General features: G+C 57.1%; 2 protein-coding genes across 21 annotated transcripts in view, besides 2 other annotated features; both read right to left on the reverse strand.

The window, feature by feature from the left end:
- Positions 1,834 to 2,683: an enhancer, noted in NCBI's record as "H3K4me1 hESC enhancer chr19:293997-294846 (GRCh37/hg19 assembly coordinates)". NCBI's record gives its function as "activates a minimal SCP1, AML or CMV promoter by ChIP-STARR-seq in naive H9 embryonic stem cells {active_cell/tissue: H9 hESC(naive)}" and the evidence as "EXISTENCE:reporter gene assay evidence [ECO:0000049][PMID:30033119]".
- On the reverse strand, positions 9,919 to 12,198 carry LOC124904605 (uncharacterized; the record flags this gene model as incomplete). Its single annotated transcript, XM_047439789.1, has 2 exons — positions 9,919 to 11,163; positions 11,230 to 12,198. Coding segments are annotated over 2 exons (1,875 nt in total), but the record flags the coding sequence as incomplete, so codon positions are not given.
- Positions 12,199 to 13,409: 1,211 nt separating this feature from the next.
- Positions 13,410 to 23,900, reverse strand: part of MIER2 (MIER family member 2) — a 39,224-nt gene continuing 28,733 nt past the window's right edge. For 10 of the 20 annotated variants that reach the window (XM_047438972.1, XM_047438970.1, XM_047438978.1 and 7 more), the window contains 7 exons: positions 21,329 to 21,480; positions 20,028 to 20,109; positions 19,682 to 19,776; positions 16,638 to 16,762; positions 16,414 to 16,502; positions 14,956 to 15,373; positions 13,410 to 14,563 (listed from right to left, as the gene is read on the reverse strand). In XM_047438972.1, coding sequence (XP_047294928.1) covers positions 14,527 to 14,563; positions 14,956 to 15,373; positions 16,414 to 16,502; positions 16,638 to 16,762; positions 19,682 to 19,776; positions 20,028 to 20,109; positions 21,329 to 21,480 — 998 coding nt within the window. In that variant the 3' untranslated portion in view covers positions 13,410 to 14,526. The remainder of the gene's footprint in view (positions 14,564 to 14,955; positions 15,374 to 16,413; positions 16,503 to 16,637; positions 16,763 to 19,681; positions 19,777 to 20,027; positions 20,110 to 21,328; positions 21,481 to 23,900) is intronic. The other 10 variants (NM_001346105.2, NM_001387157.1, NM_017550.3 and 7 more) reach the window with 3 other exon arrangements.
- Positions 16,317 to 16,517: a silencer, noted in NCBI's record as "peak3203 fragment used in MPRA reporter construct". NCBI's record gives its function as "represses an SCP1 promoter by STARR-seq MPRAs in K562 erythroleukemia cells {active_cell/tissue: K562}" and the evidence as "EXISTENCE:reporter gene assay evidence [ECO:0000049][PMID:32103011]".

Consider the following 23,900-nt stretch of genomic DNA (forward strand, 5'->3'; position numbering starts at 1 on the left):
CACCGTTCCTATCAGCGCACTTGCTGTCCCATTTCACAGAAGAGCACGGGGGCGCCAGGAGCTGGGAACCCCATGAAATGGCGCCGGGGTCTGTGCCCCCACCAGGTCGTGGGGAGCCCTGAGCTGAGGGTGCCTGGGGATTGAGGGCACCTGAGCCAGGGAAACCCAGGCCCAAGGGACCCACACTGGGTCCTTTCGGCTGGGACCATCCGGGAGGCCTCAGGAGTGTCAGACCCACGTTTCCGGAGTCCAGCCTTGACCTCTGCCACTCACGGTCACTTAAATGGGAAGTGGCAGGCCTGGGGTCAGAAACAAGGCTGCTGGGCCCCAGATCCGCTGCCACCCTGACCCTCCTCTAAAACCCGTTCAGCACCACCATCAGCCCCCTGCCCCAGCAACACCAAAACAGGGTGCGTCTCAGCAACTGGACTTCAACTGGGAGCTCCTCGACCCTGCTTCCCGGATGGTCAGACACCTGCACGTGGGGCAGGGGGGCATCATGAGGGAACTCCAAGGGCAAGGGGCTCTTGGGAGACAGCAAAGGCACCCAGAGTGGTGCTGGGTGGGAAGACGGTGCAAGCTGACCTGTGGCCCTCCAAGGGCAGGGTTGAGGTGCTCCCTTGCTGCACTCACGGTGGGGTGGGGGGGCTCTAGCTCCCGTCGGAATTAGGATTGTGAGGGTTCTGGTGCCTAGCATCAATGCTACATAAATGTAGGGTTCAGCGTCACTACTGCGCTTTCCCCCACACTTCACCCTGTCTGCAAATGAGTGACCACTGCTGTCAGTGTAGTCTTGACAGCCAACGCACATTTTCTCCTAAGATGGAGAGGGTGCAACATCTACTGGAGTCAAGGAAAGGCGGTGTTCTTCATTGAGCACCTACTGTGTGCTGGGGAGCAAGGGAGAGGTCACTTGGAGGGGCCTGCCAAAGTGGGAGCGGGGGGAAGACAGTGGGGGCTGTGGGATGGGGCCAAGCCAAGAGGGAGAGACCCAGGAGAGGGGTGGAGGTAGACCTGGGAGGATAGAGGGTGGAGGTGAGGCTGCAGGCTGTTCCCCCTTCCATCCTTCCCCTTGGGTCAGGATTTGGGTTAGCCCTTAAAATCCCTGGGCAGGATAAGGATTAAAATCTGGTGGGGAAAGCAAGAATTAGGATTAGGGTCAGGATTGGGGTCGTCTCCTACATATGCTGACTGCAGCCCACCACACTTCAAGGAACTTCTTGTCACGGCTTTCATAGCTGGATCTGCTGCTGCCCCCAGCTGCCTGGTCCTCCCTTCCAGGAAGAACCTGAGGCCAGGGCAGCTCCCAGCAGGGACAGAGCCTGGCCTGGAGGCCAGGCCTCAGTGGCTTTCTCCTTCACCTGCAAATAGCAGAGCTGGAAGCGGGTGGTGGTACATGTACCCAGGCTGGGTCCCCTAGAGACAAGCAACCCCTGAGGGCCAGGTCGCCACTCCCAGGCAAGCAAGCTCACGGGTTCAGCAACTGCAGCTCCCGCCTCTTGCCCAGCACTGGCTCTGCCACCTTGGTGCCTCATCGCAACCTGGATGGCTCCGGGCCTGTTTCCAAATGGACTCTATGGAGACTAAGACACCTGTGAAGTGGGCAGAAGGGGGCCTGGCACACAGTAGGTGCCACCTAAGTGCAGCCAGCCACTATACCTGCCGTTGCTTTCTCTGCTTCTCTGGGACTTGAGAGGTGAAGTACCTTGCCCAGAGTCAAAACGGGAGTTGTCTCCCAGGTTCCTGGCACGGGGCTCTTGGAGTCGAACGAGTGCCCGTCAGTGGGTTTGACGTGCAGGCAGTGGGCAGGGAAGGCTGAGGGGGTGGATGGTTTGGAAAGACATCTAAGGTATCCCTCAGTCTCTGTCTGCATAAAGGCGGCAAGACAGTAGCTACCACCTGGGATTGTAGAGAAGATTAAATAGTTTGTGAAATGCTTGACCCAGGGCCAAACATTAGGAAACATCATTTGAGGGTTAATTGAACAAAATACAGTGTGGGTAGGTATCACGTGTTTGCTGGGTCAAGATGTAGAAGGTACTTCTTCCTGGGGTCAAGATTTAAAAGGGTTGGAAACCGCTGCCTTCAAATTCACAATCCAGGACCCACGAATTCAAAATTCCCCTCGGACTTTGCAATCCTTGGAGTGCCTCTTAATTTAGTGTAACCTTACAGTCAGTCAGGGACAGGGTAACCCTCCGGGTTTCAGCACCGCGAGTCTGCTGTGCTCTGTCTGTGAGGAGGTCTTCACTGGGTCACAGCAAAGAAAAACACACAGCAGTAGTGCTGGACGTGGTCGCCAGAGCCCCTCGCGCAGACAAGCCGGGACGCGGCCCCCCTGCCAGAGCCCCTCGTGCAGACAACCCGGAACGCACAGCCCCTCCCACCATCTCAGTCTGTGCGTTCGTTCACTGTCCCCGTCTCCTCCCACGAGCTCCAGGAAAGTGGGAGCTGGCACACAGTGGGTGCGCAAGCCGTGCTTACTGGGATGCCCAGAGCCTGAGGTCACCAGGGAGCTGACAGCTGCAGGGAGCTCTCCCTGGGTCACAGCAAGGCAAGACACACAAGCAACAGCGGAGGGCAACAGTGCGTTCTCAAAGGGAGAGCTGGTTTCCGCCTGCTTCTCGTACAAAACGAGGGGCAGAGATGGCAGGGGCCACCCCGCGAAACACTCGATTAAATCCCCGTTCACAAACCTTCCTGATGCCTGGCAGCCCTATCCCTGCCCCCGAAACCAGCATCTGGTGAAGGCAAGGAGAGGCACCTGGAAGACCTCAAATCTTTGCAGGTCTGCAAAGCCACTGAGCACCCACAGACCCCAAGGACCTGGTTCCGACTCAAGGAAGAACAAGGACGGTGGTGGCGGAGGGGCTCCAGAGAACTCGTAATGCCTCTGGTGAGGCCACCGCCGTCCTGCATCTCTTGATGTGACTGGTGACAGCCCACCAGGGCGGGGAACCGGTTCACCTCCCAAGTGCTCACCGGGGGCCGCGCTTTCGACTCTCCCTGCACAGGCCGTGGGTCGTGGCTCCGGGTGAGTGGAAACATTTGCCCCGCAGCGACCACCGCCCCTCCCTCCCCGACCTCGAGCCACAGGACCAGGGGACGGGGCTGGGCTGCGCTCTGGGCCCCGCGATGCCTCCGGGAGGCACGGCCGCCCTCTGCTGGACACGCCGAGGAGGCGCTCCACGCCAGGGTCTCAACATCCTCCTGAGAACAGCCCAGCAATGGGGCAAATAAACATCAAGGACCCCCTAGCTGAGTCCTGATACCTGTGAAACAAACAGGACACCCCGTTACATTTGAATCCCAGAAGAGCAACAAACCGGTTTTCAGTATGTGTCCCGAATACTGCATGGGACATACTTACACATTCGTTTATCTGTAATCCGAGCCCAACTGGGCATCCTGTATTTTATCTGGCCATCCTACCCAGGAACTACAAACCGAGAAAACAAGGACCATCAGGGAGAGAGAAACAGCTGGGTCAGGTCAGTGGGGGCCCAGACAGCGCCAGTCCAGGGCCCGGACATCTTCAACAAAGCCTGGGCCTGGGAGGCTGAGGCTCTGGGGACCGTGGCCGGTCCAGGACCATCAGTTCTGAGCGACTTTCTCCCTCCCCCACTTCCACCCCCACAGAAATTGTCTCAGGAGGGCTGATCTCCAGGCAGGCCCCTGGCTAACGCCTGCTTCCTGGCACGGCCATGGACTCTGTCCAGAACAGATTTCCATATTTGGTTAGCAGGTAGGAAGGAGGTCATCAAAGACCTTCACTTCACTGTAAAAGGAAAGCATTAAATAAACGAACACAAATGACTTTTATTTATGGCTGCCGAAAAGCTGAGGACAGTAAGTTTGTTCTAGAGAGGTATGAGCTCCCCTGAGGTTAGTCAAGACCAAGTCTGGTGGAGGCCTCATTAGTCCTAGGAGCCTGGTGTCAGACAAATCCGGAAGAGCCCCAAGGCACAGCGGGCCCTCCAGGTCCTCCTGCCTGGGTCTGGGCTGCAGGAAGGGCAGGATTCCACCACCCCACAGCTAACCCAGAGGCAAAGCTACGCTACACAAGCGGTGAGCAGGCCAGCCCAGCTCCTCGAGACCAGCACATCAACCCAGCTGCTGACAGGAGAGGGGCAAGCCCTTCCTGAGGCAAAACAGTATCCCCTCTGCTCCTTAACTGTCTTACCCACATCTAGTGCACCCTCAGAAACACAAGACACCATGGACAAGAACAGAATATTAGTCAACAATGGCATCCCAGGGTCTCTCCCAGCTCCAACCTATCTTAGATATTCCAGTCAAATCCAATCTCCCTAAAGCGTGACTCTACTTCAGCTAAAAAACACACTAAGGCTCCCCACTGCCTTCCCAGTTTCAGATTTCTTGGCCTAAGAGGGAAGTTGTTCCTGCACTGCCCTCCTGACCTCTGTGCTCACCCCACACAAATGGGACGCTCATGCCTCTGGGTGGCTGCGCCCGGCCTGCCCATGTGCTCCTCCCTCTTACTATTCCTTCTCCATGGGGCCTGCCCTGCTACCGAAGGGGAACAAGGGACCCTGGCCTGGCCAACCAGGAAACCCCTTCTGCTCGGCAGTTCCTGATTCAGTTATGGGCACGAGACCCAAGAACAAATTTTACCCAGGAGTTTTGTTAGAACAGTTGGGCAAGATACAGGCTTCCCACAGAAATCACAGATGTAAGGTTGTGTGCCTGGAGCTTCTGGTGCCATCTCAGTCGCCACAAAGGGCGCTGCCCCTGAGAAGAAGGTCAGTTCGGGCAGCAGAGAAATAGAAGCACCGAAACATCATAATGTGGATGGTGACTCCTGATTCCTGTTTCTGGAGGCCCTGGCATCCCCGGACTGGGTCTTAAGAGTATAACTTTCGGGCTGGGCACAGCGGCTCACGCCTGTCATCCCAGCACTTTGGGAGGCCGAGGAGGGCAGATCACAAGGTCAAGAGTTTGAGACCAGCCTGGCCAACATGGTGAAAGCCCGTCTCTACTAAGAATACAAAAATTAGCCGGGCGTGGCAGCGTGTGCGGTGTGGTGGTGTGCGCCTGTAATCCCAGCTACTCCGGAGGCTGAGGCAGGAGAATCACTTAAACCTGGGAGGCAGGGGTTGCAGTGAACTGAGATCACACCACTGCACTCCAGCCTGGGCAACAAAGCGAGACGCCGTCTCAAAAAAAAAAAGAAAAAGAAAAGGAAAAAAAGGGCTGGGCTCAGTGGCTCACGCCTGTAATCCCAGCACTTTGGGAGGCCGAGGCGGGTGGATCACCTGAGGTCAGGAGTTCAAGACCATCCTGGCAAACATGGTGAAACCTCGTCTCTACTAAAAATACAAAAACTAGCCGGGCATGGTGGTGGGTGCCTGTAGTCCCAGCTACTCGGGAGGCTGAGGCAGGACAATATCACTTGAACCTGGGAAGTGGCAGTTGCTGTGCGCCGAGTTCACGCCGCTGCACTCCAGCCTGGGCGATAGAGCGAGACCTCGTCTCAAAAAAAAAAAAAAAAAAAAAAAAGCAAAGCAATAGGATGACAATGATTTAAAGTAACTATTATTAAAAGGTTAAAGATTACAGAAGAAAAGATAGGGGCAAGGTGAGAAAATGGAGAATTTCAGCAGAAAAATTAAAAACACATAAGAGCACCTATTAAAATATACAATATGGGAAATAAAAATTTTGTGAAACAGACTAAATAGAAATCTGGAATATCAGAAAAGAGGATTGGTAGCATCAAAGACATGTCGATAGAAATTATTCAGAGGCCGGGCACACTGGCTCACGCCTGTAATCCCAGTACTTTGGGAGGCCGAGGCAGGTGGCTCACGAGGTCAGGAATTCAAGACCAGCCTGGCCAATATGGTGAAACCCCGTGTCTACTAAAAATAAAACAAAAATTAGCCGGGTGTGGTGGCGCACACCTATAATCCCAGCTACTGGGAAGGCTGAGGCAGGAGAATCGCTTGAACCCAGGAGATGGAGGTTGCAGTGAGCCGACATCATCGACATCATGCCACTGCACTCCAGCCTGGGTGACAGAGCAAGACTCCGTCTCCCAAAAAAAAAAAAAAAAAAAAGAAATTATTCAAACAGAAGCACAGAGAGAGAGAAAAATAAAAGAGAGAGCTGTGAGGCAACACCGAGGGTTGTAACATTAGTGACTGGAGAGACTGTGGGTCACCCATGGCCATGACACCAGTGACTGGAGAGACTGTGGGACACCCATGGCCGTGACACCAGTGACTGGAGGGACTGTGGGTCACCCATGGTCGTGACACCAGTGACTGGCGAGACTGTGGGACACCCAGGGCCGTGACACCAGTGACTGGAGGGACTGTGGGACACCCATGGCCGTGACACCAGTGACTGGAGGGACTGTGGGACACCCATGGCCGTGACACCAGTGACTGGCGAGACTGTGGGACACCCAGGGCCGTGACACCAGTGACTGGAGAGACTGTGGGTCACCCAGGGCCGTGACACCAGTGACTGGAGGGACTGTGGGACACCCATGGCAGTGACACCAGTGACTGGAGGGACTGTGGGTCACCCATGGCCGTGACACCAGTGACTGGAGAGACTGTGGGTCACCCATGGCCGTGACACCAGTGACAGTGACTGTGGGACACCCATGGCCGTGACACCAGTGACTGGAGGGACTGTGGGACACCCATGGCCGTGACACCAGTGACAGTGACTGTGGGTCACCCAGGGCCGTGACACCAGTGACTGGAGGGACTGTGGGACACCCAGGGCCGTGACACCAGTGACTGGAGAGACTGTGGGTCACCCATGGCCGTGACACCAGTGACAGTGACTGTGGGACACCCATGGCCGTGACACCAGTGACTGGAGGGACTGTGGGACACCCATGGCCGTGACACCAGTGACTGGAGGGACTGTGGGTCACCCAGGGCCGTGACACCAGTGACTGGAGGGACTGTGGGACACCCAGGGCCGTGACACCAGTGACTGGAGGGACTGTGGGTCACCCAGGGCCGTGACACCAGTGACTGGAGGGACTGTGGGACACCCATGGCCGTGACACCAGTGACTGGAGGGACTGTGGGACACCCATGGCCGTGACACCAGTGACTGGAGGGACTGTGGGTCACCCAGGGCCGTGACACCAGTGACTGGAGAGACTGTGGGACACCCATGGCCGTGACACCAGTGACTGGAGGGACTGTGGGTCACCCAGGGCCGTGACACCAGTGACTGGAGAGACTGTGGGACACCCATGGCCGTGACACCAGTGACTGGAGGGACTGTGGGTCACCCATGGCCGTGACACCAGTGACTGGAGGGACTGTGGGACACCCATGGCCGTGACACCAGTGACTGGAGAGACTGTGGGTCACCCATGGCCGTGACACCAGTGACTGGAGAGACTGTGGGTCACCCATGGCCGTGACACCAGTGACAGTGACTGTGGGACACCCATGGCCGTGACACCAGTGACTGGAGACTGTGGGACACCCAGGGCCGTGACACCAGTGACTGGAGAGACTGTGGGACACCCATGGCCGTGACACCAGTGACTGGAGAGACTGTGGGTCACCCATGGCCGTGACATCAGTGACTGGAGAGACTGTGGGTCACCCATGGCCGTGACACCAGTGACAGTGACTGTGGGACACCCAGGGCCGTGACACCAGTGACTGGAGAGACTGTGGGTCACCCATGGCCGTGACATCAGTGACTGGAGAGACTGTGGGTCACCCATGGCCGTGACACCAGTGACAGTGACTGTGGGACACCCATGGCCGTGACACCAGTGACTGGAGAGACTGTGGGACACCCATGGCCGTGACACCAGTGACTGGAGAGACTGTGGGACACCCATGGCCGGGACACCAGTGACTGGAGAGACTGTGGGACACCCATGGCCGTGACACCAGTGACTGGAGGCTGTGGGACACCCAGGGCCGTGACACCAGTGACTGCAGAGACTGTGGGACAACACCCAGGGCCGTGACACCAGTGACTGGAGACTGTGGGACAACACCCAGGGCCGTGACACCAGTGACTGGAGGGACTGTGGGACACCCATGGCCGTGACACCAGTGACTGGAGGGACTGTGGGTCACCCATGGCCGTGACACCAGTGACTGGAGGGACTGTGGGACACCCATGGCCGTGACACCAGTGACTGGAGAGACTGTGGGACACCCATGGCCGTGACACCAGTGACTGGAGGGACTGTGGGTCACCCAGGGCCGTGACACCAGTGACTGGAGAGACTGTGGGACACCCAGGGCCGTGACACCAGTGACTGGAGGGACTGTGGGACACCCATGGCCGTGACACCAGTGACTGGAGGGACTGTGGGTCACCCAGGGCCGTGACACCAGTGACTGGAGAGACTGTGGGACACCCATGGCCGTGACACCAGTGACTGGAGGGACTGTGGGTCACCCATGGCCGTGACACCAGTGACTGGAGGGACTGTGGGACACCCAGGGCCGTGACACCAGTGACTGGAGAGACTGTGGGTCACCCATGGCCGTGACACCAGTGACTGGAGAGACTGTGGGTCACCCATGGCCGTGACACCAGTGACAGTGACTGTGGGACACCCATGGCCGTGACACCAGTGACTGGAGAGACTGTGGGACACCCATGGCCGTGACACCAGTGACTGGAGAGACTGTGGGTCACCCAGGGCCGTGACACCAGTGACTGGAGAGACTGTGGGTCACCCAGGGCCGTGACACCAGTGACTGCAGAGACTGTGGGACACCCATGGCCGTGACACCAGTGACTGGAGACTGTGGGACACCCATGGCCGTGACACCAGTGACTGGAGAGACTGTGGGTCACCCAGGGCCGTGACACCAGTGACTGGAGACTGTGGGACACCCAGGGCCGTGACACCAGTGACTGGAGAGACTGTGGGACACCCATGGCCGTGACACCAGTGACTGGAGAGACTGTGGGACACCCATGGCCGTGACACCAGTGACTGGAGAGACTGTGGGACACCCATGGCCGTGACACCAGTGACTGGAGACTGTGGGACACCCAGGGCCGTGACACCAGTGACTGCAGAGACTGTGGGACAACACCCAGGGCCGTGACACCAGTGACTGGAGGGACTGTGGGACACCCAGGGCCGTGACACCAGTGACTGGAGAGACTGTGGGACAGCACCCAGGACAGGGCACATGTACCAAAGACCCAAAAGACAGAGTGGGACATCAGAAAAATTTGAGAAATACTCCTTCAGAAATGGAACTCTAAGAAAGCAAAAGAAAACAGAAATATCTGCAGAAATAACAGTCAAGACTTCAAAATCTGTTAAAATGCACCCACCCTCAGGTCGAAGTAGCTCAGTTTAGAAAGCTAGACCCAGGTGCATCACAAACGGCCAAAGTCCAAAAATAAAAGAAAATCATGTATATAGTCAGAAGTAAGAGATTTCACAGTAAGGAAAACAGAATGAGAAAATTCCTCATCAGAACAGTAGAAAACAGCATGAATAGAACCACCTTAACATGCGCAGAGAAAAACACAGTCCACTTAGAACCGTATATCCTGTAAAAATGCACTTCAAAAGAGGAGGAGGAATTAGGGCCTTTTGATCCACGTAAGAGCTAAGCCTAGGCAGAATGTCACTGCAGAGGAACTACAAGGCAATATATATTAAATACGGCACTTCAGACTCAAAGAAAATTATCCCTCTTGGCAACACGGAGTCTGAATGAAGAACTTAAGAGCGCCAGAAAGGTACGAAAATGTACACATCTTCAAAGGCTATGGAAAACAAGATCCCACTACACACCTATTCGAATGGCCAAACACAAAATACTGACACCACCAAACACTGGGGAGGACATGGGCCTCAGGAGCGCTTACTCATTGCTGGTGGGAGTGAAATGGCAGCTTCTCATTAAACACGGTCTCATCACACGGTCCGGCAATCAGGTTTCTTTATTCATCCAAATGGGCTGAAAAGTTGTGTCAAAACAAAAACCTGCACATGGGCGTTTACAGCAGCTTTATGAGTAACTGCTGAAGCTTGGAAGCTGCTAAGATGTCTTTATGTGTAACTGCCAAAGCTTGGAAGCTGCTAAGATGTCTTTACGCGTAACTGCCGAAGCTTGGAAGCTAAGATGTCCTTCAATAGGTACGTAGATAAACAAGCTGCAGCACACGCCCAGGATGGAGTATCATCCAGCGCGAAAAAGAAATGAGCCATCAAGCCACGAAAAGACATGGCGAAGCCTTCAGTGAATATGAAAGAAGCCAATCTCAAAGGCTACATACTGTACGTGTACACCAAAGCACATCCTCATCAGACACCTCAATACACCAAAGCACATCCTCGTCAATACACCAAAGCACATCCTCATCAGACTCAATACACCAAAGCACATCCTCATCAGACTCAATACACCAAAGCACATCCTCATCAGACTCCTCAATACACCAAAGCACATCCTCATCAGACTCCTCAATACACCAAAGCACATCCTCATCAGACACCTCAATACACCAAAGTACATCCTCATCAGACACCTCAGTACACCAAAGCACATCCTCATCAGACACCTCAATACACCACAGCACATCCTCATCAGACTCAATACACCAAAGCACACCCTCATCAGACACCTCAATACACCAAAGCACATTCTCATCAGACACCTCAATACACCAAAGCACATCCTCATCAGACTCAATACACCAAAGCACATCCTCATCAGACTCCTCAATACACCAAAGCACATCCTCATCAGACTCAATACACCAAAGCACATCCTCATCAGACTCCTCAATACACCAAAGCACATCCTCATCAGACTCCTCAATACACCAAAGCACATCCTCATCAGACTCCTCAATACACCAAAGCACATTCTCATCAGACACCTCAATACACCAAAGCACATCCTCATCAGACTCAATACACCAAAGCACATCCTCATCAGACTCCTCAATACACCAAAGCACATCCTCATCAGACACCTCAATACACCAAAGTACATCCTCATCAGACACCTCAATACACCACAGCACATCCTCTTCAGACTCAATACACCAAAGCACATCCTCATCAGACTCAATACACCAAAGCACATCCTCATCAGACACCTCAATACACCAAAGCACATCCTCATCAGACTCAATACACCAAAGCACATCCTCATCAGACTCCTCAATACACCAAAGCACACCCTCATCAGACACCTCAATACACCAAAGCACATTCTCATCAGACACCTCAATACACCAAAGCACATCCTCATCAGACTCAATACACCAAAGCACATTCTCATCAGACTCAATACACCAAAGCACATTCTCATCAGACTCAATACACCAAAGCACATCCTCATCAGACACCTCAATACACCAAAGCACATCCTCATCAATACACCAAAGCACATCCTCATCAGACTCCTCAATACACCAAAGCACATTCTCATCAGACACCTCAATACACCAAAGCACATCCTCATCAGACTCAATACACCAAAGCACATTCTCATCAGACTCAATACACCAAAGCACATTCTCATCAGACACCTCAATACACCAAAGCACATCCTCATCAGACTCAATACACCAAAGCACATCCTCATCAGACTCCTCAATACACCAAAGCACATCCTCATCAGACTCAATACACCAAAGCACATTCTCATCAGACACCTCAATACACCAAAGCACATCCTCATCAGACTCAATACACCAAAGCACATTCTCATCAGACTCAATACACCAAAGCACATTCTCATCAGACACCTCAATACACCAAAGCACATCCTCATCGGACTCAATACACCAAAGCACATCCTCATCAGACTCCTCAATACACCAAAGCACATCCTCATCAGACACCTCAATACACCAAAGCACACCCTCATCAGACACCTCAATACACCAAAGCACATTCTCATCAGTCACCTCAATACACCAAAGCACATCCTCATCAGACTCAATACACCAAAGCACATTCTCATCAGACACCTCAATACACCAAAGCACATCCTCATCAGACTCAATACACCAAAGCACATCCTCATCAGACTCAATACACCAAAGCACATCCTCATCAGACACCTCAATACACCAAAGCACATTCTCATCAGACTCCTCAATACACCAAAGCACACCCTCATCAGACACCTCAATACACCAAAGCACATCCTCATCAGACTGCTCAAAACCAGTGGTACTGAAAAATCTTCAAAGCAGTTGGAGGAAAAAAACCAAGAGAGGACTGAAGATTTCCTGCTGGAGGCAGGGCAAGCTGGAAGACAGAAGACCTTGCACATCTGAAGAAAACGTCAGCAGGCTGCGGCGCTCCAATGAAAACTCCTCTATGCCCATCCCCAAACACCCAGGTTGCCGAGTGGCTGGCCCTGGTTCTCACAGCTCCTGGCACAGGCTCACCAGCAAGACCCCTGACTCTCCCACACCCATCATGCAAGTGGTCCTGGTCCTTCACCAATAGTCCCTGAGGCCAAGCCACAGTCACCTCCCAGCTGGGGGCCGGCCCTCCCCATATCCCATCACCATGCATGCCCACATTTCCCTCACTGATGTGGACAATATGCAACCCAACCAGCCTGCACCGTCCCTGCAGGGCGCTATTAACAATGCAGACCTCAGCCGGGCGCGATGTCTCACGCCTGTAATCCCAGCACTTTGGGAGGCCGAGGCGGGAGAACACAAGGTCAAGAGATAGAGACCATCCTGGGCAATAAGGAGAAACCCCATCTCTACAAAAAATATAAAAAGTAGCTGGGCATGGTGGCGGGCGCCCGTAATCCCAGGTGGCGGGCGCCTGTAATCCCAGCTACTCGGGAGGCTGAGGCAGGAGAATCGCGTGAACTCAGGAGGCGGAGGTTGCAGTGAGCCGAGATCGCACCACTGCACTCCAGCCTGGCGACAGTGTGAGACCCTGTCTAAAAAAAAAAAGCAAAACAAAACAAAAAAACAATGCAGACCTAAAGTGGCTTCCACACCAAGAACAAAACTTGGCCTCATGACCTACTGTCCCCACCCCGCCCAACCTCTGCCCTCTGTGCCCTCAGCTTCTCCTGGAGACCCAGGCCTCTGTCCTCTGCATCTGCTGTCACGCCTGCCAGGCCTCTCGGCAAACTTTCAGCAAAGGAGGCCCATTCTCCTTCATGTTTCAGCTTAAATATCACTTCTAGGAGGCTGCCCCGACCACCTCTACCCAGACGTGGGCCCTCCTCACATCCCGTCATCGTGGCCACAATTCCCTTACTGACGTGAACAATACGTAGCCCACCACGTCATGCCCCCGGTGCACCCCCTCGCCCGTGTTGCTCACGACTTATCCTGGACCCTCCAAGAGACATGCAGGCCCCCAAGTGAGATGACGAGGACACCTGCCGCCCCAGCCCCCACCCGATCCACCACAAGGCACCCCGGGCTTCAAATCAAGTTTAATAAATAAAACAGCAAAGGGGGGTTCAAGGCAGTTATCACTTCACAGTGTGGTCCTTGGTGGGGTGAGGGATGGTCGAGTCCAACTCGGAAAGGGGCTCGAGCACAAGAGGCCGGACGACACCCGGGGCAGGGCGCGCCGCCGCCCACGGAGGACCCCACTCCAACGTGTAAACAGAAACAGAAACGAACGAGAGGGCCAGGGAGGAGGGGGACCAGGACTCCAAGCCATCTTGCTAGGAAGCTTCCCACAGAAGGAAGACCTGCAGGGCTGGGGAAACAGGCTGGAGTCTGGCCCCTGCGTGGCCAGCAGGGCCGGCTCCTCCGGAGGCTCCCTGCCTTGGTACCGGGGGAGGACAGCAAAGGGGATGTAAATCACCTGTCTCCTCAAACCCACGCCTGGGGTTGCTGAGGGACCCCACCCCAACCGCTCAGGATCGGGGAGCAGGGATGGAGGGGGAAGAGGCAGGTGGGGGTGTAAAGTGCGGCTTTTCCTGAAGTGGAGACGATGGGGTGGGAAGGCGAGGCTGGGGTGGGGGCCGGACAGCGAGGTATATGGCTCTGTGCCCCACGGGGTTGGCACTGAGTAGCAGCTGCCCACGACCCCCAGGGCTGGGGCAGCCCGCGGCCCTGCCGGGTGTGGAGAGACAGAGCCAAGCAGGGAGCTGAGGGCGCCCCGGCGGAGGCTGCTGGTGCGGGGCAGGGCGTCCTGCCCGTCTCCCCGCCGGGGCAGTGACGCCTTCCCTCGCCTCTGCTGGCTGGAAGGGACTAGGTGGCCGGCTCTGCCCTGCGTCCCAACGGCGGGGTCTCTTCTGTCCCCGGCTGCCCGACGGATCCCACGTGCAGGCAGCGGCCCGGACCCGGGTGGCAGTGCCGGGCGCTGACGGCGCTGGGTGGGGCCGTGGGTCCATTCTGTGTGGACAGGGGCAAGGGCTCACGGCCCAGCCACCTCACCCCAGTCCTGACGTGTTCTGAAGCAGAAGGAGGTGCTACCCCAAGGCCCGGGGGGTGGGGAAGGGGTCAGGAAGACTGACAGAGGCGGGCCCAGCGGCAGCGCTAAGTCCAGTCTGGGCCGCATACGCCGCCCGCGGCCAGGAGTCAGCAGGTCATCACGTTACAGCTGCAGGGGAGAGACCAAGAGAGACGCAGAGAGTGTCAGTGCGGCCCCACGTGCCTGCACAGCCCAGTGCTGAGCGCTGGACTCGAGACTCCCAGCCTTGCCTCCCCCACAGCCTATGGCAGCCGGGCCCGGGGTGCCCTGAGGGGAGCTGGTGGCTGGAGCAGGGGTGGGACAGCCTGGCACCTGCTCCCATTTGTGGAGAATGTGGACCACATGAATGTATTCTCCAGTCAAAAAATACATACAAGTAAAGAATAAACCTAAAGACACACTGAGAGCCTGCTCGTGGAGCCACACTGTCCTCGGGTCCTTGGGGCAAATGCCTCCCACCCTCCTCTGCTCAGCCTGAGGGCTGGGGGGACCTGGTTGGAGTGTTGCGGAGGCTCCGGGCATGGGGTGGCACTCACTGTGACAGGGGCTCCGAGTGTAGCCCGGGGGCCGGGCACGTGGGGTGGGCGGCCAGGAAGGGGTTCACGTCCCCAATGCCGATGAGTCCAAACTCGGTGACCGACAAAGCCACCTGTGCTGGGGCCACAGTCTCCTCCGGATCCCCGCTGAGGTCCACATGGCTGGAGATGAGGGGCAGCTCCTTGGGCAGGGCGAAGTCCACGGCCAGCCTTGGGCTGGCGTCTGGCTCCGGAGCAGTGACAGCTGGCTGGTATGAGGCTGGGTCGGCCAGGGCTGGGGGCCGATGGGACAGGGGTACAGCGGGGGACTCATCCAGCTGCTGGAAGGAACACGGCCCTGGCTCCGAGGACGGGAGTCCATCAGAGGCCACTCCGGGCTCATCGAGACCACCGGCCGTGCCATCCACGCTCAGTGGATCTGTGAAAGAGAACGCAACAGAGGGTGGGGCCTGCCCACAGCCGCGGATCCTGTGCAGGCTCCTGCCTAACTTTGCTGGGTCCAGCAAAGCCTGTGGATCCCTCCCCAGAAAAGCCTCCACACAAATACAAAAGACACCAGTTACACTGAAATCCGCGAGCCCCAGGTTAAGGGTCTCAGCTTTAGAAGTAGATTTTAGTTCATCAGACCAACAGTGGGTCACAACCCACATCTTTAAAAAGAGCAGAATACAATAGACATAGGTGTAAACAATGCCGGGGGCACTGCAGAGGGTAAATACAGGGTCTGTGGAATACACAGACTTAGGTGTAAACAATGCCGGGGGCGCTGCGAGGGCTAATACAGGGTCTTTGGAAGTTTTGTTCCCACAGGCAGCGCAAGGGGCCTCACCACAATTCTAGGAAGTAGCCGAGGTGGACACCCTTTGGCAAACAAACCATGGAAACAACCAGACTCTGGAAATGGGGGACCCTCCCAGACTCAACCATCTAAACACAGAGCCAGAAAGCAAAGGATCCTCGTTTGCACCCTCCCCGTGTGGGTCTCCACCTTCGGACGCCACATCAGACACCACCATCGGACATGGTCCCTACCCGAGGCCCTGCTGTGCTCCGTCATGGCCTCAGGTGCAAGATCCTGGCGACGGCTCCGGACACCCTGTCCTTCCTGAGTGTCCTGGTGACGGGCTAAGTCCCCACCCTGGGGCAGGAAGGCCCTCCCCGGAGACTGAGGCCTGGTAAATACCCCAACCTCACCATACGGGGCTCCCCAGCAGTGGGGCCACATGCACCCCTCCAGCAAGCCCAGAGGGTAAGCGTAATCCCTGCCCTCCCCTCTCCCAGCCAGGTGTACAGAGCGGCATCCACATCACGTGGCTGCCCTCCGCCACCCAGACGCCCACTCCTCCTGGCGAGGCTGGCCCAGCACAGGGCGCCAGGCAGGAGAGGCTCCACCGGGCCTCACTCACGGCTCCAGACCCGTGGCCGCCCCCAGGGCAGGAGATACTCCCCAAGCCTCACCTGTGCGCATCCCAGTCAGGGTGTCTTGCTCCGGGCGCGGACGGCCGGGGCCATCGGGGTCGCTGCCATCCAGGTCCTGGTCTGCGTCCCTGTGGGGAGAGGGCGCCATGAGGGGCGGCAGACAGGACAGACGCCCCCACCCAAGAGGTGCCGCCCAGGCGCCCACGTGCCCACCCCCGGCGGGGTGGCCGCCTGTCGTTACTGCTGGGGAGGGCTGCACGCACGTGGTTCCGGACGGGACGTACTTCCTCCGGCCCAGCCGCGTCTGCTGGGCGAAGTAGTCGTAGCGCTCCGACTTCTTCCACAGGTAGTAGTACTCGACACACTCGCCCACTGACCGTGTGCGCACCTGCGGGGAGGGGTCAGGAGCCATCTCTGTCCCCGGCTGCCCAGCCCCAGCACCTGCACCACGATCCCAGGACGTCCTGGGACCCCGGGACAGCACAGAAGGAGCACAGCACCCACCACTCTCAGATAACGCAAGACCCCCCGACCCATGACCCTAACAGGCCACAGGCTATGCCCACCACAGGGAACAGGGGCTCGGAGCACTGTGGCACTGCCTCCTGTTTCAAGCCCCCTCAGAGCCCTCCAGCTCCTGGCTTGAGACCCCTTTCCCTTCTGTAGCATCAGCCAGACAAACGTACCCTCCAGGCCTCTGTCTACTGCTCACCCACCCCATCCCAGACCATGAGCCACGGGCCAGTTGCGTCCACCTCATCTGCCTGCTTCTCACAGGCCCGGGGTGGGAGTGGGAGTGACAACCCCCGGGTCCACAGACTCCTGGACTGAGCCCCTTCCCCGGGAGGAAGAGGCACAAGCCCGCGGCGCCTGCTTTCCCACCGAACACATCCCTCCAGGGCCCAGCGAATGCTTCCCAAGTGCACAGAAGACACCGCAGAAGGACACATGGGTTCTGTGAACCCGACAAAATTCCCAACGTAGCACATAAAGGGCCAAACACACATGCACACAGGCTTCAGGGAGACGAGAAGGGACACACACACACACACACACAAGGCTTCAGGGAGACGAGAAGGGACACACACACGCACACAAGGCTTCAGGGAGACGAGAAGGGACACACACACACACACACACACAAGGCTTCAGGGAGACGAGAAGGGACACACACACGCACACAAGGCTTCAGGGACACGAGAAGGGACACACACACACGCACACAAGGCTTCAGGGAGACGAGAAGGGACACACACACACACACACAAGGCTTCAGGGAGACGAGAAGGGACACACACACACACGCACACAAGGCTTCAGGGAGACGAGAAGGGACACACACGCACACAAGGCTTCAGGGACACGAGAAGGGACACACACACACACGCACACAAGGCTTCAGGGAGACGAGAAGAGACACACACACGCACACAAGGCTTCAGGGAGACGAGAAGGGACACACACACACACGCACACAAGGCTTCAGGGAGACGAGAAGGGACACACACACACACGCACACAAGGCTTCAGGGACACGAGAAGGGACACACAGCAAGTGTGTTCCATGTGGCACCTGGCACAGAGCTGGGCGCACACCTGGCAACACCTCCAACATCTCCACCCGGGAGGCTCATCCCACAGAGAGCTTGAGGCTGTGGCCACTGCTGGTGATGGCGGAAAAGACCCCCTCACCTGGACATGCTCTGGGCCAACTAACCCACCGCCACCCAGAACGAGGATGCCCCATGCTCACCGCTGCGAGAACAACGTGGGGTCCTGCCTGGGGGCGAGACCGAGACAACCTCCCTGCAGGGCAAACCTCAAACGCACGCCACGAGGGAGCTCTTCTGTGAAGGGCCAGGGTGAAATACGCACTGGCTCAGGCTGACCAACGTGTGCTGGCTACACACGGCCCCTCGCGGCTGGGCCAGGACCTGCCCGGAGCTCCAGAAACACGGCCGGGAGTTACAAAAACGCGGCCCTGAGCTATAGAAACACGGCCCGGAGCTGCAGAAACACGGCCCGGAGCTATAGAAACACGGCCGGGAGCTGCAGAAACACAGCCGGGAGCTATAGAAACACAGCCCGGAGCTATAGAAACAGCCCAGAGTCCAGAAACACAGCCCGAAGCTCCAGAAACACAGCCCAGAGCTATAGAAACACGGCCCGGAGCTATAGGAACATGGCCCGGAGCTGTAGAAACACAGCCCGGAGCTACAGAAACACGGAGTCCATAGAAACACGGCCCAGAGTCCAGAAACACAGCCTGGAGCTGTAGAAACACGGCCAGGAGTCCAGAAACACGGCCCACAACTCCAGAAACACGGCCCGGAGCTACAGAAACTTGACAGGGGCTCCAAGTGTAGCCTGGGAGCACCACACTCCAGCCACACCTCGCCCCGCTGTCTCCAATCAAAACACCACGTGGTGCTGGAGTCTGACAAGGACAGTCCATCGCTGCTGCGCACGGCACCGCACAGTCACCTGAGCAATGTCCTGAGCCGTACAACCAGCCCCGGGCAGGTGCCTCCTCACCCAAGCCCTTCAGTGGACGACATCGGGCCCCAAATGGAGCACGGTCCCAGGACACGAGGCAGAAGCAAGGCTCGGCAACAAGGCCACAGCCCACTGGTCCTGAAGGGACTCAGTGCCCAACCGGGGCGTGGACAGAGGCGGAGAAGCCACTGGTCAGAGCCATGGGAAGGTTTTCAGCCAGAGATGTCTGACTGCCAAGAGGCTGGCTTGGAAGTTACCACTCAAGAAGCCACAGGGCAGAGGGCACTGCTGCAGACATGCAGAGACCCACAGAGGACGTGGGGAAGGTCTAAGGAAGGGCAGAAGGCCCCGGCACTTGGCAGCACCTGCCTGTCATGAGGGTTTGTCCCGGGTGGCAGGACCTGGGTCCCTGGAGGAGGGAACCAGGAGACCCCTGGTCTCCAGGTGTCAGGGGTTCTGCTGTGGGGCCAATGCTGGACACTGAGCCAGCAGGCTCTGCTCAGAGGACACAGACTTGAAGATGAGGTGCCCAGGGCCCTGGGGTGGAATGTGAGGCAGAAACAACTACTAGAATTCAGCTTTTGCCACATTCTTTCCCAAAGCCAGAGCCTTGTTCTTGTGGGGACAGGAAAGGGGCCCACAGCAGTCAGTAGCAAAAAATGCAGAAGACAGCAATGGGCACACGGTGAGGAGGCGGACACAGGACACGGGGCTCCAGGCCTCCAGTCGGCCGTGTGCTGTGTGCCTGCGGACCCTGAGCCCCTCCCCAGATCGAGAAGCCCCCGGTGGAGCCTGGCAGTGGAGTCCGCACCTTGTTGGCCTGGATCAGGTGAAAGTTCTTTCCATGCACACGGAAGCCGTGCTCAAAGTTCCTGCACTCCTCTTCACTCCAAGCACAGAGCCCATCTGCAAACACGGCCGGGGAGAACGGTCAGTGGTGCCCAGGGCGGGGCCGCAGCGGAAGGAAGGCCCAGGCCGGGGAGAACAGTCAGCGGCGCCCAGGGCGGGGCCGCAGCGGAAGGAAGGCCCAGGCCGGGGAGAACGGTCAGCGGCGCCCAGGGCGGGGCCGCAGCGGAAGGAAGGCCCAGGCCGGGGAGAACGGTCAGCAGTGCCCAGGGCGGGGCCGCAGCGGAAGGAAGGCCCAGACCGCTGCTCACCTCGGATCACCTTCACGTTGAACCGCAGCCTTCGCAGGGCCTCCTCCACATTGAAGTTGCATTTCACCAACTCGTACAGCGCCTGGGGAGAGGACATGTTGGCTCTTCCATGGGCTCAGCGCAGGAGCCGACAGCAAGAACTGTCTATACCATCCAGCGAGTGGCATCAGGGGCCGTCCACACCACCCTCCTGGGCGATGTCAGAGCCACCTACACCTCTATCCAGGGAGTGACATCAGGGGCCGTCCACACCACCCTCCTGGGCGATGTCAGGGCCACCTACACCTCTATCCAGGGAGTGACATCAGGGGCCGTCCACACCACCCTCCTGGGCGATGTCAGGGCCACCTACACCTCTATCCAGGGAGTGACATCAGGGGCCGTCCACACCACCCTCCTGGGCGATGTCAGAGCCACCTACACCTCTATCCAGGGACTGGCATCAGGGGCCGTCCACACCACCCTCCTGGGCGATGTCAGGGCCACCTACACCTCTATCCAGGGAGTGACATCAGGGGCCGTCCACACCACCCTCCTGGGCGATGTCAGGGCCACCTACACCTCTATCCAGGGAGTGACATCAGGGGCCGTCCACACCACCCTCCTGGGCGATGTCAGGGCCACCTACACCTCTATCCAGGGAGTGACATCAGGGGCCGTCCACACCACCCTCCTGGGCAATGTCAGGGCCACCTACACCTCTATCCAGGGAGTGACATCAGGGGCCGTCCACACCACCCTCCTGGGCGATGTCAGGGCCACCTACACCTCTATCCAGGGAGTGACATCAGGGGCCGTCCACACCACCCTCCTGGGCGATGTCAGGGCCACCTACACCTCTATCCAGGGAGTGACATCAGGGGCCGTCCACACCACCCTCCTGGGCGATGTCAGGGCCACCTACACCTCTATCCAGGGACTGGCATCAGGGGCCGTCCACACCACCCTCCTGGGCGATGTCAGAGCCACCTACACCTCTATCCAGGGACTGGCATCAGGGGCCGTCCACACCATCCTCCTGGGCGATGTCAGGGCCACCTACACCTCTATCCAGGGAGTGACATCAGGGGTGTCTACATCCCCTTGCAGGATACCCGGAGGCGTCTACACCTCCTCCCTGATACGTGGTTTTAATTGGCCCCCCTTCTGACCTGAGTAGCTGTTCCAGTGCCCTGGCCCCCACACACCTGACCCCTGCCCTCCCCTCTGCCCTCCCTGGCCCCTGGAGGCACTGGGGTGTGAGCTCTGGCCCACGCCACGGCAGCCCTCAGCCCCTCTGTCCCCGGCATGGCAGCCCCCACCTGCTCACTGTCTTTCACGGCTTCTCCCTCTGGGAGCTGAGGCCCGGCCATCTCGTGCCAACGCCGCTTCACCGCCCTGTACAGGAACTCCTCCACCTCCCTCTCAGGGAGGACGCTGGGGTCCCAGAGCAGCTGGTCTTCGTTCTCGTAGACTGCACAAGCAGAGGGCAAAGGTCAGCTTGCAGGAACCCAATCTGCACCCACACACGCCAGGACAAGCAAAGCAGCCAACTCAGCCCCTGACAGGGAGGAGGCACTGTCCGTCCTCCCTTTCCCAAGCCCTGGGCCGCCATCCCTGTGCTCCTCCTGGGCTTGGTGCTGCTGTGCTCAATTCAACTACCGAGTGGGTCCAGAGCAGGCTCTGGGCACCACACACAGGCCTGTATCCCAACGACCAAGTGCAGGGAGCCATGAGCAGTCAGCAGGGGCGCCTGATCCAGCCAAGGGGTCAGAGGAAGCTGTGGACAGCCTAGATCTGGGGCAGGGGAATTCTAAGCAAGGACTCTGCAGAGGGGGTTCTAAGTAGTGAGACCAGTGAGGTGAGGCTGGCTTCAGGCTGCACAGCTACAAGGGCACCTGAAATGCAGAGGCCTGAGGGAGCAGCAAGGACGCCCCCGACTCTGCATAAAGGCAGCTGAGACTTGGGCCCGTGGACAAGCGGGAGCCCCCACAGTTAGGCACTGTCGCGCTCTAACCCTGGGAGCTGAAGAGCCACGGCCAGAAGGTGCATCACCTCTGGGGAGACATCCTGCCCCCGGTAGCTGGTGTGGATGGCAGATGTGCTCACAGAGGGGAGGAAAAGTCCACGACCTCAGATGCAATTGGCTTTCGGCAAAGGGAGGGACGCAGCCTCCAGCTGTGGTGAGGGACGTGACTGGGGACAAGGCAGGGGAGAGCTCAGGGCCAGGTCTGGCAAGGCTCAAGTGCCAGCACCTCTCAATTATCCAGGAAAGAGGCACAGGATCCCAAACAAAGCAAACCAACAAATAAAAAACAAAATCAGTGCACGGGAAGAAATGTGAAAAACGCACTGGGGAAAACAGCTCCACACGGGAGTCTCCACTGCCGGGGGCTGACGCGGTAACTAGCTCCCAGGTTGGTGCTGTGCCCCACCAAGCAGGGGCCTCTCCCGGTCCTCATGGCCATGAGGAAAACAGGCAGACACCACAGCCACCTTTCTCCATCTCCACAGGCGACACCTGAGCCCTGCTTGGACAGAGGTGGTCTCCAAGAAAACAGCAGACCATCTCTGGAGAAAAAGAACACCACATACAGCCTAGCATGTGAAGGGTGGGAAAACACGAGGGAAAAACATTAACCGGATGTGAGGGCTCATGTCTGTAATCCCAGCACTCTGGGAGGCTGAGGTGGGAGGATCGGTTGAGGCCAGAGTTTGAGACTCGCACACTCCATCTCTACAAAAAATTTCAAATGTAGTACAGGCACGTCTGTAGTCCCAGCTACGGTGGGATTGAGGCTAAGGTGGGACTGAGCCCAGGAGGTCGAGGTTGCAATGAGCCATGATTGCACCACTGCACTCCAGCCTGGGAAACAGAGCAAGACCCTGTCTCAGAATAAAACAAGAAAACAAGGCCAGGCGTGGTGGCTCACGCCTGTCATCCCAGCACTTTGGGAGGCTGAGGCGGGCGGGTCACCTGAGGTCAGGAGTTCGAGACCAGCCTGGCAAACATGGCGAAACCCCAGCTCTACTAAAAATACAAAAATTAGCCGGGCGTGGTCATGGGCGCCTGTAATCTCCGCTACTCGGGAGGCTGAGGGAGGAGAATCACTTGAACCCGGGAGGCAGAGGTTGCAGTGAGCCAAGATCGCGCCACTGCACTCCAGCCTGGGCGAGAAGAGCGAGACTCCGTCTCAAACAAACAAACAAAACAAGAACACATCAGACAACAAAGCAGGTCTACACACAGCCGATGTTAAGAGTCAGCACACGAAGACTTCAATCTAACGAGGATTAATACGTTAAGGAAATGGACAAAACGCCGGAGAGTCTCAGCAGAGACTTGAAATTTATAGAAAAGAATCTCAAGGACCTTCCAGGACTGGATAATACAATACCCGAATGGACCCACTGAACAGCTTTTTTACCAGCAGCCTGAACACAGCACAAAACACAATTAGTGGAATCAAAAGGAAACCAATGTTTACAAGACCAAAACCAAAGTGTAAAAGGAAAGAACACCGTTTAGGGTAGTACAAGACAGTGAGGCAACCTCTAAGATACGTGTAAATGAGTGACAGAGAAAGCAAAGAAGGAGGCAGCACAAAATCTGAAGAGGTAACAGCCAAGAATTCTTCAAAACTGACGACTGATACCAACCCACAGAGCCAGGAAACTCAGGACGAATACAAGGACACACGAAGACGTGTGCACAGGCACAGGAGAGCCAAACTGGTGAAAAACAAACAAATAAAGGAAAGGAAACAACTCTTAGGAGAGAAAAGGGCACAATGACTTCAGAAGAAAGAGTAAGACCGTCCTCTGACTTCTCAACAGAAACGATGACAGCCAAAACGCAATGGAGTGAAATTTTTCAAGTGTTGAAAGAAAACA

The sequence above is a fragment of the Homo sapiens genome, chromosome 19 (genome assembly GCF_000001405.40).
Source record: "Homo sapiens chromosome 19, GRCh38.p14 Primary Assembly".
In the NCBI taxonomy this organism is placed as follows: domain Eukaryota; kingdom Metazoa; phylum Chordata; class Mammalia; order Primates; family Hominidae; genus Homo; species Homo sapiens.